The following is a 17,133-nucleotide window of genomic DNA, read 5'->3' as shown; positions in this document are numbered from 1 at the left end:
AAGGGAGTGGGCCTAGAAATGAATACAGACAAGAGCCCCAGGACAGAGTTTTGCTCAGGAAAACACAGCTGGCAAGAGGAAGTCATACCTGAACACCCGGGGCTCACTCAAAAAAACATGAAATACTGGCTTGGAGGAACAAAACGAATTCCAGAGCCTGGGGCCTGACAAGTGAGTCAGTTAAACTAACACCTTCCTGCCCTTGTCACTACTGGCTCAGGATCTGGGTAGGGCTAATTCTGCAGGTTGAAGGTTTGAGGCCTGGAAGTGACTGTGACTAAGGCCAGAGGAGCTGACGGAAAACAGTGGCAGGAATGTTTAGCTTTCTTTTCAAGTGTATCAGTAGCACCTATTTGCATGAAAACAGTTTGTTCTTTGAGGCTGATCTTTGGCAATTTATTAACCACAGTTCAGCCAGACATCCAAAAGAACACTGAGGAGCCTTTCCTCCCTCTGTTTACTACATATTCTAGAGATGCCACACAAGAGAAAAATCCACCAGGCACACTTTTTCCTGTTTCAGACTTGCCTCTCTCCCAAACGTGTCTGGAGTCAGTTAAGAGTGATTGTTTAGGTGGACTTTGAGAGTCCTGTTCTTCATTTTGAAGATCACCACATTAAAGAATGGATGTTTGTTGTGGGCCCTGCAGCGACTGGAGACAAACAAAGCAGTGTTCTGAGCAGAGAGATTTGAAAAAGCGTGTGGGCATTTTCAAGAGTCATCTAATTCATTACTTGTGACAGTATCCAAAGTGGAAGCAGAATATTTTCTATCACTGAGAGGAGGAATATGAACTGTGGGAGAAGGAGGGAGGGGAACAGGCTTCTGACACCCAAAGCTGGTCACTCAGGAAACTTTGGAGGGTTGCCCTGGGCCACAGGTGAATGATTAGTTCTTCTGTGAACTAAAATTAATTTTGAGCCGTTTGAAGCCCTTTCTGGTCATTTCCCCCTCAGATGATGCCCTGTCTCCTGGAAGGTTTGGGAGGGCACCTCTGCTAAAAAGTTCCTCTCAGCTAGGCTTAAATGCTCAGAGCCAGCCATTCACACATCATTGCTCAATCGCGATGGCAAAGAAAGTTCCAGTGCTTTTTCCCTTGCCCATTTTCCCTGATGATAAGCCATTCCTACTCATGCCTTGACCCATACTTTACCGAGGACCAAAATAAGAGAACTGAGACTCTTCCACTTCTTAAGTTCTCAATGTGGGGATGAAGGGATTTGAAGCTTCCCTTGGCTATTCATTGCAAGGTTTATTTCTTCTCTCTCAGGAAGCTCTTTTTTATTTTTTTTAGAGACTGGTTCTCCTGTACTCCACCCAGGCTGGAGTACAGTGACACCATCATAACTAACTGCAGTCTCAACCTCCTGGGCTCAAGTGCTCCTCTTGCCTCAACCTCCCAAGTAGCTGGGACCACAGGCATGCACCACCATGCCTGGCTAATTTGTTTTTAAGTTTTGTAGAGATGAGGTCTCCCTATGTTGCCCAGGCTGGTCTCGAACTCCTGGGCTCAAGCAATCCGCCCACCTCTGCCTCCCAAAGTGCTGGAATTACAGGTGTGAGCCACCATGCCTAGCAGGGGATTCTTTTCAAATAACCTTTATTGAACATCTACTGCATTTGAGATGCTGTGTTTGGTGCTTTCACGTGATAAAAATAATAACAGCAGCCCTCATATAGAACTTTCTATGTGCCTGGCATTGTCTTAAGCACGTTATCTCAATTTGCTAACATTCATTATATCAAATAATTCTCAAAACAGTGCAGGTGGCATTATTCCTATTTTATAGATGAGGAAACTCAAGTTCGGCAAGGTTTCACTATTTATCAAAAGTCACACAGCAGGTGGGGGCACCAGCTTTGAACCCATGTCTCTGACTCCAAGGCCAGTGCTCTTTCCACCACGTGACTCTTCCTCCCTAAAATGTATTATGTACTTGCTGCCTCAGTAAACTATGACTGCCAAACCGAACTTAATCTCTTACAACAATTATTGATCATTATTTTGAACGTCAGTTACCTTCACACAATGCCCTCATGTTGTTGAGGTATGTGACTAGTTCCTTGCCCCCTTGTTCTTTGCTATTCTATTTGGGGGAGGTAACAGCTTCATTCCTGTCTCACTAGCAGTGATGCCAATAATAACTTTAGTTGCTGTTATTTGGCCTCTGGGCCTCAGTTTGCCCCTCTGTAAGAGGAGAACATTGGGCTGAATGACTTTGAAGGTCCTTTCTAACCCTGATATTTTCATCAATTAAAATCTAACTTAAAAATAGGTAAAGAGGCTGGGTGCAGTGGCTCACGCCTGTAATCCCAGCACTTTGGGAGGCCGAGGCAGGTGGATCACGAGGTCGGAGTTCAAGACCAGCCTAGCCAAGATGGTGAAACCCCGTCTCTACTAAAAATACAAAAATTAGCCAGGCATGGTGGTGTGCGCCTGTAATCCCAGCTACTTGGGAGGCTGAGGCAGAGAATTGCTTGAACCCAGGAGGCAGAGGTTGCAGGGAGCCGAGATTGCGCCATTGCACTCCAGCCTGGGCAACAGAGCAAGACTCCATCTTAAAAACAAACAGTCGGGTGCAGTGGCTCACGCCTATAATCCTAGCACTTTGGGAGGCCGAGGCAGGCGGATCACGAGGTCAGGAGATCGAGACCATCCTGGCTAACCCGGTGAAACCCCGTCTCTACTAAAAATACAAAAAATTAGCCAGGCATGGTGGCGGGCGCCTGTAGTCCCAGCTACTCGGGAGGCTGAGGCAGGAGAATGGCGTGAACCCAGGAGGCAGAGCTTGCAGTGAGCGGAGATCGCGCCACTGCACTCCAGCCTGGGCGACAGAGCAAGACTCCGTCTCAAAAACAAACAAACAAACAAACACACCAGGTAAAGATCGTGTCCTTTTGGTTTAGCTTGAGTAGGACAAGAAAATGTCTGGTCCTAGTTCTCTGGACTAGAAGGACTTGGTAAACGAGTTTGGGGTGATTGAATAAGAAGTCTCTACCACACTCCTTGTTCTGTTATTCCCCACCCCCGATTACTGAGCTTTGAATTACACCTTTTTCTTTCTCTGTTTTTAAACACAGTTGGAGTCCTCTCCTCATTTGTGTGTTCCCCTCAAGGACAGCCATCAGAGAGACACTGCTCTGGCCTAGTGTCCTGACCGCCATGTTTAGTTCTCACCAGCTTGCTTACACTTTGGGCTCTGCCTAGCTTGCGATTCTCACAAGAATCACTTTTGCTGTGCTTATTTACTTTTCTCTCTCTTTATCTCTAGCCTCTTCTGCAAAGTTGGTTTCTTCAGACTAACATTCAGGTGACCTCATCTCAAGCATTTTCTCATTACCTTCCCCTTTCTGCTGGGGGACTGTTCCCTACAGCCACAGACTCTTCTCCTTGTAGTGGGTAATACTAACCTCTCACTCTTTCCTCACCATCTGAAAAATATTCTTTGCTTCTCTGGGTTTCAGTGGCTTCCTGATTATGTACCAAGACAAATCTTTTAGTCCCTCCTCAAAGTAAGGTTGGAGACTGCACTGTAAACAGATTCTAATGCAGTTATTCCCTCATATAGCTAATGGCTACTAACGGAAATATAGAAATAGGTTTATATCACCAAACACCGCATGTTCTCACTCATAGGTGGGAATTGAACAATGAGAACACTTGGACACAGGGCAGGGAACATCACACACCGGGGCCTGGCGTGGGATGGGGGAATGGGGGAAGGATAGCATTAGGAGAAATACCTAATGTAAATGACAAGTTAATGGGTGCAGCAAACCAATATGGCACATGTATACATATGTAACAAACCTGCACACTTAAAGTATAATAAAAAAAGAAAAGAAAAAGAAAGAGAAACAGATTTACATGCCCTGGGTTTCTTTCCTAGATTTTGCTTCCTCTCTACTGAAATCTACTTGTAATTTCTGAAAGGCTGTTGTTGGAGAACACAGGTACTTCTTGGAGTAAAGTGGATATATCTGTTTCTAGCACCCTCGTAGCTTAACATTGGCTCTGAAGTAGTACTGCTATGCAAACAATTATGAAAGACATTTTTTTCACATGAAAGTTTTTAGTTTATAAATCCTCTCATGAAAAATCCACAATGGCCGCAGATAACATATTGCAGCCCTTTACTTCTTCGACTTTTTGCCAGCACCAACATTGGCCTTTGCGGTCCCCCTGACTTTCTTTATTGGGTTCTTGCATTCCTTTCGTTGCTTTCTTGAGGTCTTTTTCTTCTCATACAGGCCATGTCTTGCAAGTCTATGTTTGGGTTCATTTTTCTTTGCATAATCCAGGGAATCATAAATCATGCCAAAGCCAGTTGTCTTGCCACCACCAAAATGAGTTCTGAATCCAAATACAAAGATGACATCTGGTGTGGTCTTGTACATTTTGGCTAGTTTTTCCTGTCTTAGGCACTCTAAATTTCTGTCTTAGGCACTGTTGCCTTCCTGGGGTCAAGGACATCAATGACCATTTGTTTCCCCTGAAGTAGTCGGTTGGTCATGAACTTTGTAGTTTGGATAGTTACCGTGTCGTTCATGATGGCTGTCTATCCTCAGACAGCCAGGGAGGAGAAAGACATTTTTATTTAGATATGTGCATAAATAAAGAAGAAGCTAATTGTTTCTGTCTTTATTAAGCACATTTACAAATCTCAGCTCTTTTCACCTTTGCTTTATTTTACTGTGCATTTATGTAAATTAACACTGTATCATGGATAAAGAAAAGGACGTTTTCTTAGGCCTCTTAATAGGATGGTTTTTCTACCCTGTTTTCTGGTTTGTCTTTAAAGCTATTTATGCTCTTTAAATTATCCAGTTTTTCCCACAGTGATTGTTGTGGCCAGAATGCGTTCCAAGGAAACAGATAAATCACTGAGTTAGGGATTACATGCAATACTGAATCGTGTCCATAAGATGGCGCTCTGAGAATGTGAGATCTCTAACATTTTTAGCCATACATAGCTGGGCAGCATATTAAACTTTTGTGAAATCAAATTTTTTTTGGTGGGGACCTAGTCCTTCTGATTGGCTCTCAAGCACTTGGAACCATTCTGATACTTAAGGGAAGAAGGAAAGTGAATTTTCTAGCAGTTCCCTTGTCCTAAATCAGTACTAGCAAGTGTCAAAAATCAGCAAGATCTGTTTGAGAGACCTTTTAAAGAAAGGCATTTCTTCTAAATGTGGGACTTGTGATACTAACCCTATGTGTTGTTACAAATGTCCCTGTCTGGGTATCAGATTCTTCCTCTACACAGTGAGTGGATTGGACCAGATGATCGCTGAGAGTGCTTCCATTTCAAATGATCTACATTTGAATTTGTTGATTTCCCTCCACTACAACATTGCTGCCTCAGCCAGAACAGAAATGAGAAGAAAAGATCGCCTATTTTACGCTTGTTTGACTCTATTCCTCTTCTACAAGTGCTCTCTTTGCTTCAACTGTCCCAAGACAAGCATGCCCAGATGTCCTGTTTTAATGAGGTTCCTTTTCTGTTTATGGCTTTTGCGCAGGTTTTTCCCTGCTCTCCCCAACCCCCTCCGCAATCCCTAACCAATCTGCCTGAACAGAAGCATGTCCCCCTTTTCACTTCACAAATAGGATTTTCTTAGTATTATGACAGTCATCTTTGTGCTAAACAGTTACCAAACTGGATAAAGAAGAAGACGCCGCATGTAAGGTAACACTTCTAACATCCAACATAGCATGTCCAGTTAAGAAAACATTAGATTTGGGAGGTAGGAACATCTCTCAGTTTATTTTTCCTCCTCCACTTGCTAGTATTCATTGCCAGAACCATGTCAAAGCCTCAGTAGAGAAGCAGCATTTTGCAGAGGAGGACAATTTAATTACAGATGAGTATTACTAAGTAGCTAACCCATTGTTACAATCCCCCATGGCCAACAGTGTCCCCATTCCTGACATCCTCTGGGCAGTCTGTGGATAAGAAGAATTGGGGCCACGCTGGCTCATCCTCATTCAAGGCCTGTCGTGAACCACGTGCTCCAGTGGCACAGAGCTAGCCTGAGGAAATGAAATGCTGAATTAATGAATTAATGCAAAGCTGCAGAGGCACCCTTCATCGATTGACTTCCCTCTGGGCTTGAAGCTCAGAGCACACATGTTACATGAAATTCCCCAGGGGCACATCACACATGTTGCCTTGCTGTAGCCAAGATGACAAAGGCAGGGGATGCACTAAGACATTGTTATGCTGCATTTGTTTTCCTATTGTCCTTAGACAGTTGAAATCTTCAAATAGTCTTTCGTATGTGTCTAGTGGCATGGATGGTGGTGGTGGTGGATTATTTATTTCTCTAACTTCAACACCTTGTCTCCCAAGAACACAAGTATGTCACTGAATGGCTTTGACCTGCCCACCCTGGCCTCCCAAAGTATGGCTATTAAATAGCCATACTGTCGTATCTCTGTGTAAGAGAAGAAACCCTATACACAGGGCTCTCTCCAGGGGCTCTTAAAGGGCAAGTCCAAGAATCTTGCTGAGTAGGCCAAGAGAGCTTTGTGGCGATGCTGCTGGGAGCCTTGTAGACCAATATAAGCAGCTCATCCATTGTTTCCTACAAGGAAGCAATGTAGCAGGGTGGTGAGGAAATGTCAAATATTTAGTCAACATCATTTCTCTCTAAGAAAGCAAGACCAGCATAGTGGTTAAGAACCCACACAGCTGGAGATGGAACCCACACAGCTGGAGATGGATTCTCAAAGTTCACACTCCAGCTCTGCTGCAGACAAGCTGTGTGACTTTAGGCAAGTGACCTACCTTCTCTGTGCCTCAGCAGCAGCAAAAACAGGCTGCCAATAGGGTAGTCAGGAGGATTAAGTTCATGTTTTCTTTTTCTTCAGTGCTTCGAACAGTATCTGGCACAGAGAAAGCACTCAGTAACTGACAGCTAGTATAAGTACCATGAGGTGCTTTGGGTGATTTAAAAAAAAAAAAAACTAACCAAGCCTCTGCCTTCAAAGACCTCACAGAGTACATGGGGTGGCAAATGGAATATACATAAAAGGAGCACTAGCAACTCAGGGCAGTGCCCACAGTACATTTCAATGCGAGAGCAGTGAGGTCAGCATGACTCAGGGTGGTTCAGGGAGGCCCTCAATTCTCATCAGGTGAGGACTTCAGGCATCTACAGGAAAAGGTAGTGAGAACTTGAATATGTTCTTTGCCTCTGTTTTGAGGGAGGGTACAACTGATAATTTACATTCATGTTCACATCCTCACTAATATACTATCTTTTTGAAATAGGCAGGTCGGAGTTACCTCATTGAAGAGTAGAAAATAGGGCCGGGCATGGTGGCTCATGCCTATAATCCCAGCATTTTGGGAGGCCGAGGTGGGCGGGCGGATCATGAAGTCAGGAGATCAAGACCATTCTGGCTAACAGGGTGAAAACCCCGTCTCTACTAAAAATACGAAAAATTAGCCAGGTGTGGTGGCAGGGCGCCTGTACTCCCAGCTACTCGGGAGGCTGAGGCAGGAGAATGACGTGAACCCAGGAGGCGGAGGTTGCAGTGAGCCGAGATCGCACCATTGCACTCCAGCCTGGGCAACAGAGCGAGACTCCATCTCAAAAAGAAAAAAAAAGAAAAGAAAATATATATACATATACATATATAGAGAGAGAGAGCAAGAGAGAGAAGGTTTCACTCTGTCATCCAGGCTGGAGTGCAGTGGTGTGATCTCGGCTCACTGCAACCCCCACCTCCCAGGCTTAAGTGATCTTCCCACCTGAGCCTCCTGGGTAGCTGGGACTGGGACTACATGCACACGGCAACATGCCTGGCTCATTTTTGTGTCTTTTGTGGAGATGAGGCTTCACCATGTTGCCCAGGCGGGTCTCAAACTCCTGGACTCAGACGATCTGCCCACCTTGACCTCCCAAAAGTACTGGGATTATAGGCATGAGCCACCACACCCAGCCAATATGGGCTATATTTAACCTAACAAAGTTGACTTGGTGACCTGATGTCAACCACCTAAGGTTTGAAGGAACTCAAGGGTGACATTGTGAACATTGCCCCAAATATGTGTTCTGTCATAAGAAAGCACCTTTAAGGAAGGACATTGGTGATTGCCAACATAACTCTTATTAACAGGAAGGATTTCCCAGAGGCCCTGAGATGTGCATCTGAGTCAGGCCCACTTTTTGTTTTTCTTTTGTTTTGTTCTCTTTTGCCTTTAAAACAACTAATGCCTAGGAATATAATGTATAATATGGTGACTATATTAAAGAATACTATATTGTATATTTCAGATTCACTAAAAGAGTAGTTCTTAAATGTTCTCACCACAAAAATAAAGATAATTATGTGAGGTGATGAATAGGTTAATTAGCTGGTTTGGCATAATCGTTTAACAATGAGTACATATATCAAAACATCACATCGGAAGTGTACATGTATTTAACTTTTATCGATTCTACCTCAAGAAAGCTGGAAAAACATTTTAATTAACTGCTATATAAAATCTCATTCGTTATATATTAAACTATTATAAAGATTAAAAATGGTCATGGTAAAAAATATTTTAAAATATAGAAGGATATAAAAAAATAAGATTTCACTAGCATCTCCCTATTCTCACTCACTGAAAGTGACTGCTCTTATCCTTTTCTTATATATCCATCTAAAATTTTTCTGGGCATATTTGAACATGTATAGAGTATATAAGAGTAATGCAAATGTAGACCCATTTTCACTGCAGATGCTGCTATTTGTATCTGTTATAATGTATCTCGTACTTGATTCCATATCAACACATACAGATCTACTTTGCCCTATTAATGTGCTCATAGTATTTCATTCTAACACTGATTACTTTTAAAATTTGGTTCAATATTTTGTCTGGCTAAGGAGCAAAGGATAGAGACATGAGAAACAGAAAAAAGTATTGAGAGCTGTGGGAGAGGTATCAAGATACCTAAAGGATAGTGCAAGAACACAGAGTTTTTAAATAGTGCCACTAAACTTAAGCAACTATAGGCATCAGTTGGACCAGGACTTTTGGTTACTGCCTTGTGAAGTAGATGCAAAAATGGCAAGCTTTAGGCCTAAGCCACAGGGCAGCTATTCCCAACACTTCTGTAACCAGAAACCATGCTTAATTTGCTAGAGTCCTTTGAGGATTTAAATAGCACATGGATAGAGCAGAACAGTAGATGCTATTTCAACTTTCAAAAAGTTTGGCAAGCTTCTAAACCCAAAACTGTCTTTTAAAAATGGAGTCACTGTGGGATCAGGGAGCAGTGTTTAGTCCTGGCACTTTATCCATGGCTGCGAGATAAGAAATTTAAAAAAATACATAGCTAAAGGGGCACTTTTCTGAATGACAGAAAATAATACAGTAGGACCACAAAGGATCAGCTGTGGGATTAATTTGATTTAATATTTATAATGGTTTTGGAAGCTGGAGTACGGGGCAAAATCGCTAAGTTGGCAGATGTCTTTACACTATTCCAATGAGGATAAGAAGCTTTGGGAAGACGCTTGTTTTATAGAAGTGGACATAAAAGTGGTTGGCAAGCTTTGATATGAAAAAGACCAAGGATATGTCTCTAGGGACACATTCCTGAAGTTCATTTCAGAAGATTTATAATGAGCCTTACCTCTTTATCTGCAAATAGGGTCTCTGCTTCAGGCATCAGTAGGAGTTAAAGAAGAGAAGATGGAGTTGGTAGTATCATCAGAAGATGAATGATATTTAAACAGACCGCATTATATGAACATAAAAGAGGAGGCTAGTAGTGAGCTGATACCCACCAGATAAAGAATGTTCCTTTATGTCTCTTTAACACAGCCCCCAAAGGCAATTGGTATTTGATGATTGGTGATCTGTGTATTCATGAGTTAACTTTTAAAGTTAAATAATCTGAATGTGTTAAGCTATCATTTTAGAAGAAATGCAATCAAATGTGCTCTTCAGCATCTTTGCTACAAAATATTTTCCTTCTCAGAGGATGACTTTTAATTATGAATGTCAGAACTAGATTTCCTGACCTCCTCTGTTAGCATGCATGTTTTTCTAAGTATGTCCTTAATATTGGCAGATATATTGTATCATGGACGGGGACATCTAATAGAATGAGATTAGTATGTTCTGAAGTTGTGAAATTTTTAGTAATAAAGAAATAATGCCCTATCTAATTTTCAGTAATAAAGAGCTAATGCCCTATCTACCTCTCAACTTCACAGTGTGGTTGAGAAGCTCAAATGAGCTGAGTGATATGAAACTGCTTTGTAAAGTGCTGTACAAAAATATGGTAATGTTAATTATTCTTTGTACTTCATAACTTGGGATTAGAAATATAAATTGACTCAAAATCTATAAATTTATCCTTTATAGATATAAATGCCAGTGTGTGAAAATCAGTATACAAGGATGTTCTCTGCAGCATTGTTTATATTAACAAAATATTACAAATTACTGTTAATCAGTAAGGCATTGGATAAAGAAGTTGCTACTGAGCCATACAGAGGAATAAGAACAAGGCATTTCCATGTGTTCTAACATGAAAATATGTCCAAAGTATTTATTTAGTTTTAATTTTTGTTTTGAGACAGGGTCTCACTCTGTCACCCAGGCTAGAGCACAGCTCACTGCAGCCTTGACCTCCCGGGCTCAACACTGCAGCATCCAAAGGTGTGCACCACCACGCCCGGCTATTTTTTTTTTTTTTTTTGAGTGGTTCGGTTTCTTAATTGTTTTATTTTAAGCAGTTCTGTTTTTTTGTATTAAAATACTGCAACTCAATATTTTTGTCAAAGTTTCCACTTTCTTATCAGAGACAAAAGCCAGAAAAATACAAAAAGTGTTCCTTTCCCTCATTTCTCAAGCATAACATCCAACAATTTGGCAGCTGGTAGCTGTTTTTGACAGTTGTGACTTGTATCTGGTGATATAAACAAGATTACAGAAGCACTAAACCATAAATGTAGTTTCATTTTTTTGGTCATTACTATCATTTTACAAAATATTGAATCTACTTTTGAACATTAAAATGTAGTCCAGCTTTTTAAAGCCGCAATTAACCACCATATTTTTTATAGGACCAAAACAGTTTGATTGTGCTTTAAAAAATGATCATTTAGAATCAATTAATTAGAATTAGAAATGCTTAATGCCTACCTTAAGTGGATAGCTAATTGATTCCTAAAATAAAATTTTGGTCTCTTTAAAGATGTTCAAGTTGCAACATTGAAGCTGCTTTGGTGGTACTATCTAAATGATAATCTGTTTGCAAATGCCAAATGAAAACTCTTTGTTGGTAGATTGAGCTATGTGCCGAATTAAACACAAATCAGTTTAGGCATCTTCACTTTTCATTATCTTATCTCATTGGAAATTATACATAATGTAAACAGTAGAACCCGATTCACTGATTTTTTTTCCTTAGTTTAATACAAGTGTGCCTCACTTTAAGCAAAATATACTAAATGATTTCTGAAACAGGAGTTTCCTTATTTTTTCAGTTAAAAAGATTTGCTTACAGAATTTCTTTAAATAACAAGGCTTCTTTGGCCTGTTTAGAGTATTCAGATCACAGAAATTCATTTCACACACAACTTCTTTGAAATACCTACATTGCATAAAATGAGGCACACAAGTACATGTGCCCATTCCATCGAGATTGCCTCATTATTTTGTGGTTATTTTATATTTTTCAGTTTGTCGTTATTAACACTTTAGTATGCCAGGTTCATTCACTCCCTATTTTAGTTGAGATGAGTTAGTGTTTCTAAGGAGTGTTTCATAATCTCTTGTCCCAAACTAGGCTGGTTTGGGAACCCAGTGAGAGTGACTGAAAATTGAAATTCAAGTCCTAAACATACTTCCAGAGCACAGCCTATCACCCTGTGGAGATAACACACAAACTATCTCAGAGGACCCCCACCTGTGGAAGTGAAAATCATGTGAGAGTCATAGTTCAAAAGAAAAAAGTGCTGGGCACCGTGGCTCATGCCCGTAATCTCAGCACTTTGGGATGCTGAGGCAGGAGGATCACTTGAGCCCAGGTGTTTGAGACCAGTCTGGGCAACACAGGGAGACCCTGCCTCTACGGAAAATTGGCCAGGCTCGGTGGCTCACACCTGTAATCCCAGCACTTTGGGAGGCCGAGGTGGACGGATCACCTGAGGTCAGGAGTTCAAGACCAGCCTGGCCAACATGGCGAAACCCCGTCTCTACTAAAACGCCCAGCTAATTTTTTGTATTTTTTGTAGAGATGGGGTTTCACCATGTTGCCCAGGCTGTTCTCAAACTCCTGGGCTCAAGTAATCCTCCTGCCTTGGCCTACCAAAGTGCTGGGATTACAAGTCCAGTCCAAAGTATGTATATTAAGTGATACAAAGTTGCAAATCAGTATGAGTAGTATCATTCCAATTTTGGTTAAAATTACCTATTAGTATATGTAGGTGAAAACCTCTACATGTATATCAAACTGTTGACCATGGTCCACTCTTGGAAAGACAGATTGATGGGGCAACTTTTACTTTATGCCTTGTTTATTTTTGTACTTCTTAAATTGTTTACAATGAACATTATTATTTTGTAATTAAAAATATGAGTTACAGATATCAATTTTGCCCTTATAACCCTGGCTACCCTATTGTAATTGAAAAAAAAAAGTATATAATGAGAGAGCAAAAGCCCTGGGAATCTTTTCATTTCTTTAAGAAAGCATTCCATTATCAGGATCAGGAGCAAGTAAAAAAGAGCTCAAAACCTTTTTCTCTCTTTGGCAATGGTGTTCTGGTATTTCCACATGATGAAAGCAAAAGGAATAAATGAAATCTGTTTCTTGTTTGCTTTGTTTCGCAAAATGAGGAATACTTCTATGTAGAGGTCTGGAACCAACAAGGAAACCACCTCATTTGTGAATCACTGTCCCAGTTGAAGTTGGCAAAACCCCACACTGGAAGGCAGAATTGCCTAGTACTTTAAATAGTTACCCTTCTCATGATGGTGAGGATGTCCATTGCTACCTTGAAACTTCAATTCTGGAGTAAAGCCTATGGTTTATCCTACAGGAGCACATTAAAATCTTCCCTTGGGCTGGTGTTCTCTCCTCTCATGGAGAACGCAGAGGGAAGCTGACAGGTATAATTTATGGTGAAAGTGATTTGAGAAAGTCTCCTGAATAGATACCCAGCTCCAGAGCCTACAGGAAATGGTGGGAGGAGGAAGAAGAGGAGAAGGAAGAGGTAAAGAACATGGAAGAATCTTTCTCCTTCAAATGAGTAGAAGGCTCACACACAGTGAAGGTTCATTCTGTGTGCTTCACTGTCATGACCTTGAACCTCCCCTAGCACAGCTCTAATCACTCTGCCTGGTCATTGGCCCTTACTCTTCTAGACTCCCCACTGGACTGAGAGCACAATAAGGGCACACAGACCTTGTCTGTCTTGTTCATTGTTGTATTCCCAACATCTAGGGGAAAAAAAGCATGTTGTATATATTTGTTGATTGTTGAACGAATTTTTTTTTACTGTAAATAGACACTATGTGGAGTGGTCTACTTTTGCACCATGAGGTCGTCTCATGAGCTTGTGGTCAGTCTGACTGTTGATGCCAAATACAGTCAGCTTTTCCTTTGTTTGGGACTTTCTTTGACAAACCTTTTCTTTACCTTCACCTTTACAGATACAGCCAAAAGGCAGCAAGGAATGGAATGAAAAACCAGTTCAATCTCCATGAGCTGAAAATGAAGGGCCCTGAGCCAGTGGTCAGTCAAATTATTGACAAACTGAAGCACATTAACCAGGTATGTGGAATATAAAAAATAATAATAATAAAAAGTAGAAATAACCGAGAGAGAGGAGGAGGGGGAGAGAGAGAGGGGGAGAGAGAGGGGGGGGGGAGAGAGAGAGAGAGAGAGAGAGAGAGAGAGAGAGAGAGAGAGAGAGAGAGAGAGAGAGAGAGAGAAAGAGAGATATAGCCAGCTTCCACTGTTCAAACTATATTCTTGGGCTTTTAGGAAAGACGCTATTATTTCTTCAAATAGTCTGTCTGCTAGAAAGGACTTCTGGCCTTATTTTTCACCCCACTTTTAAATTATAAAGACAATATTGCAATTTGAGGGGTAGCTTGGAAAATAGAGGGAAAAATATTTCTCACAATCCCACTATTTTATCCCAACTGTTTTCATTTTTACATGTTCTCTTCTAATATTTGTCCAGAAAGGCACACTCACACAGACTTTTTCCATAATTAGAAATCCACAAGTGATTTGTAGTTCTGAAAATTAACACTATCTTGGAAACACTTTTCTTTTCCATGTTGTCACAAATCTTTTTGTTATTGTTGTTTTGTTTTGTATTGTTTTGAGACATGGTCTTGCTCTGTTGCCCAGGCTGGAGGTCAGTGGCACAGTCATGGCTTACTGCAGTCTTGACCTCCTGGGCTCAAGATATTCTCGTGTCTCAGCCTCCCGAGTAGCTGGTACTATAGGCATGCACCACCATACCTGGCTAATGTTTAATTTTTTTGTAGAGATGAGGTCTCACTATGTTGCCCAGGCTGGTCTCAAACTCCTGGGCTCAAGCAATCCTCCTGCATCAGCCCCGCAAAGTGCTAGGACTACAGGTGTGAGCCACCATGCCTGGTCCCCACAAATCTTTATATTAATTATTTGTCATGGCTGCATAATATTCTGTTGAGTATTCATCATAATTAATCAGCATGCTTTTGCTGGATATACAGGTTGCTTCAAATTTTTTGCCATCATAAATAAAGGTACCTCCTCATACATAGTGCTTTATCCTGATCTTAGCTTATTTTCTTAACATGCTAAAGTTATTGGGTCAAAGGATATGAGCAATTAAAATGCATGTGTCCAAATTTGCTTTTCAATGAGAATGTATCAGTTTTCACTGCCACCAGCAAGACAGGAGAGGTCCAATTTCACTGCATCCTTGCCAGCTTCTGACTCACTGCCATGCACAGAGACACCCACAGATTCCCTTGACCTGTACACATAGTTTTTCCTCTCATAAGAAGTTTAGTAACAAGACACAAATAGAAGTTAGTTGTACCATCTGCTTATGATTGCTTTGTGGCCACAATAAAAATGCCACCAAAAAGGCATATACCAGAGTGACAGTGTTCCTGCCCCATGATCCATGGGTGGGAGGACTGTGGCATCACTGACTTCTATTTGTAGTTTAGGAAGAACTTAATGAAACTGAAATCCTTATGCAAGAACAGAGGTTTTAATACAAAGACATTGGTATGAGTTTTTAAAATATGGATTTTAGCAGTGAAATTTTTGTGGGTCCTAGAAAATACTTAGAAGGGCTTTCTAAGAGTAGTATATTTTTCACTGCAATTGGCATTGTGAAAGTATTGACAACATGCTTGGGTATAAACTCCTCTGGTGCCTGATAAGGTGCTCTGTACTCAGTGAGCACTTAATAAATAGCTGTTAGTGCTGCTGAGCACATGGTAATGGCAGTGTCTACCTAACTGAGCCATTTTTGTGTGTGAAAGTACAACTTCACTAAGTTCTATCAAGCCTTGCTAGATATAGTGTGATGATTTCAAAATGCATCTCTGAGGGGATCAGAGCACAAACGATGTAAAACACTTACTGCTGAGTTGAGGGCATGATATGCTTCACTTGGGGACAGTGGTACAAATTATCTCAAACCAAAATGTGTCTAGGTGGCTATGTTCAACTGGTTAGACCCCAACACTGGTGAGGCCAAAATCTCAGTTTCCATCACTGTGTCCCTAATTCTAAATGAGGAATATTGTCAACAGGTCCCTTGTGTCAACAGACCTTAAGGATTACCTACTATGTACTCAGCCAGGTGCCAGGGACTTTGGGGATTCAAAGGAAGTCTAGTCCTCTGTCCTCACAGCCTCCTTGAGGGAGGAAGCATAAGCATAAGAAGTGGTTAAATAAAGATAAAGGGCAGCCTGTGATGCAGAGTCTGAAGAGGAGTGCTGCTCATCGGTTTTGGGTGGTATGATTAGGCTAGTGGGAAGATTGCAGAGAGGGGCAAGTGTTAAGATCTGCCATAAGCAATGAGTAGGGTTTGAGTAGGTAAAGACAAGCAAGGGAGGGGCAGTCATAAGAAAGATCGAGTGAAGACCTGTGGGCGGACCCCACCCTAGAAAATGGGAAAGCTGCATCAGACATGGGCTTCTATATGATCAGGCAGTCACTAAAAAATATTTATAGCAAGTCCTTTCAGCAAAGGCTTTGGGCACAGTAGAAAGAATTTGGGCTTTGTATCCAAATGGATCTGAATTCAGTTATAGATTTTGCTAGGCGCATAACTTTGGGTAAATCAGTTAACCTCTCTGAGCTTTAGTTCTCTCATCTGTATTATGGTAAAGATATCAAAAACTCCAGTGTATATCTATCATATACATATATATAATATGTACACATAGATATATGTAATTGCATGTGCATGACAGGCACTTAATATATGGCAGTTAGTTGTGAGGACTGTGTTTAGGATTTTCTCTATAGGCAGGACTTGAGTTTGAAAGGGAGTTCCAGTACTTTCTGCGAGTCTAATTCTTCTCCCCCAGTTTTGTATGTTTGTAGATCCCTTTGATGCATCTCTTCTTTCTCTCCCATATTGTCTCCTTCTTTTCCTCTCCTCTAACTTTCAGCCACAAAAGCTGAAACCAGCTGACAGGTAGGGAGATGTACATAGAGTGAGAAAAGTCGCTATTACAATTCCTTTTTCCTACCTCTGGCCATGAATATGTGCATGAACATTTTCAGTTTCTATACAAATACCATTGAGCAGCCAATTAATTCTCATTGATAAACCAGTTTTACCTGTTTCAGTTGAGCTGTTAAAATTGGTTGGACTCCAAACACCCACATTGATTTTTTTTCTCATCTGTGTTGCTTTATATAGCCAAAACACATTTTTTCAGTCCTTAAATAAAATTTATATTTTGGCCATGATTCGATCTGAAAGTGAGACACTTCAGGGAAGTCATAAAGAAGAAAGTCATGATGATGATGATGATGTCGATGATGATGATAATGATAATGTGTTCTCTTTGTATAGCATTTACCCATATTTCAAAGTGATGTCATGTTCTAAAGTCTAACTGCTTAGGAAAAAAATCCAACTT

The 17,133-nt window shown here is 41.0% G+C and overlaps 1 protein-coding gene and 1 pseudogene across 5 annotated transcripts in view, besides 1 other annotated feature; one reads left to right on the top strand and one right to left on the bottom strand.

Annotated features, from left to right (window-relative positions):
- GPC3 (glypican 3) overlaps positions 1 to 17,133 on the top strand; it is a 449,850-nt gene that overhangs the window by 310,073 nt on the left and 122,644 nt on the right. For 4 of the 5 annotated variants that reach the window (NM_001164619.2, NM_001164618.2, NM_004484.4 and 1 more), the window contains one exon: positions 13,672 to 13,792. In NM_001164619.2, coding sequence (NP_001158091.1) covers positions 13,672 to 13,792 — 121 coding nt within the window. Of the gene's footprint in view, positions 1 to 418; positions 601 to 13,671; positions 13,793 to 17,133 lie in introns of those variants that run through there. The other variant, XM_017029413.3, reaches the window with a different exon arrangement.
- Positions 48 to 661: an enhancer, noted in NCBI's record as "OCT4-NANOG-H3K27ac hESC enhancer chrX:132808889-132809502 (GRCh37/hg19 assembly coordinates)". NCBI's record gives its function as "activates a minimal SCP1, AML or CMV promoter by ChIP-STARR-seq in naive H9 embryonic stem cells {active_cell/tissue: H9 hESC(naive)}" and the evidence as "EXISTENCE:reporter gene assay evidence [ECO:0000049][PMID:30033119]".
- On the bottom strand, positions 4,069 to 4,590 carry RPS24P19 (ribosomal protein S24 pseudogene 19; annotated as a pseudogene).

This window comes from Homo sapiens, chromosome X (genome assembly GCF_000001405.40).
Source record: "Homo sapiens chromosome X, GRCh38.p14 Primary Assembly".
NCBI lineage: Eukaryota > Metazoa > Chordata > Mammalia > Primates > Hominidae > Homo > Homo sapiens.
The sequence above is the reverse complement of the archived record's forward strand: the minus strand, read 5'-3'. Positions and strand labels throughout refer to the sequence as shown.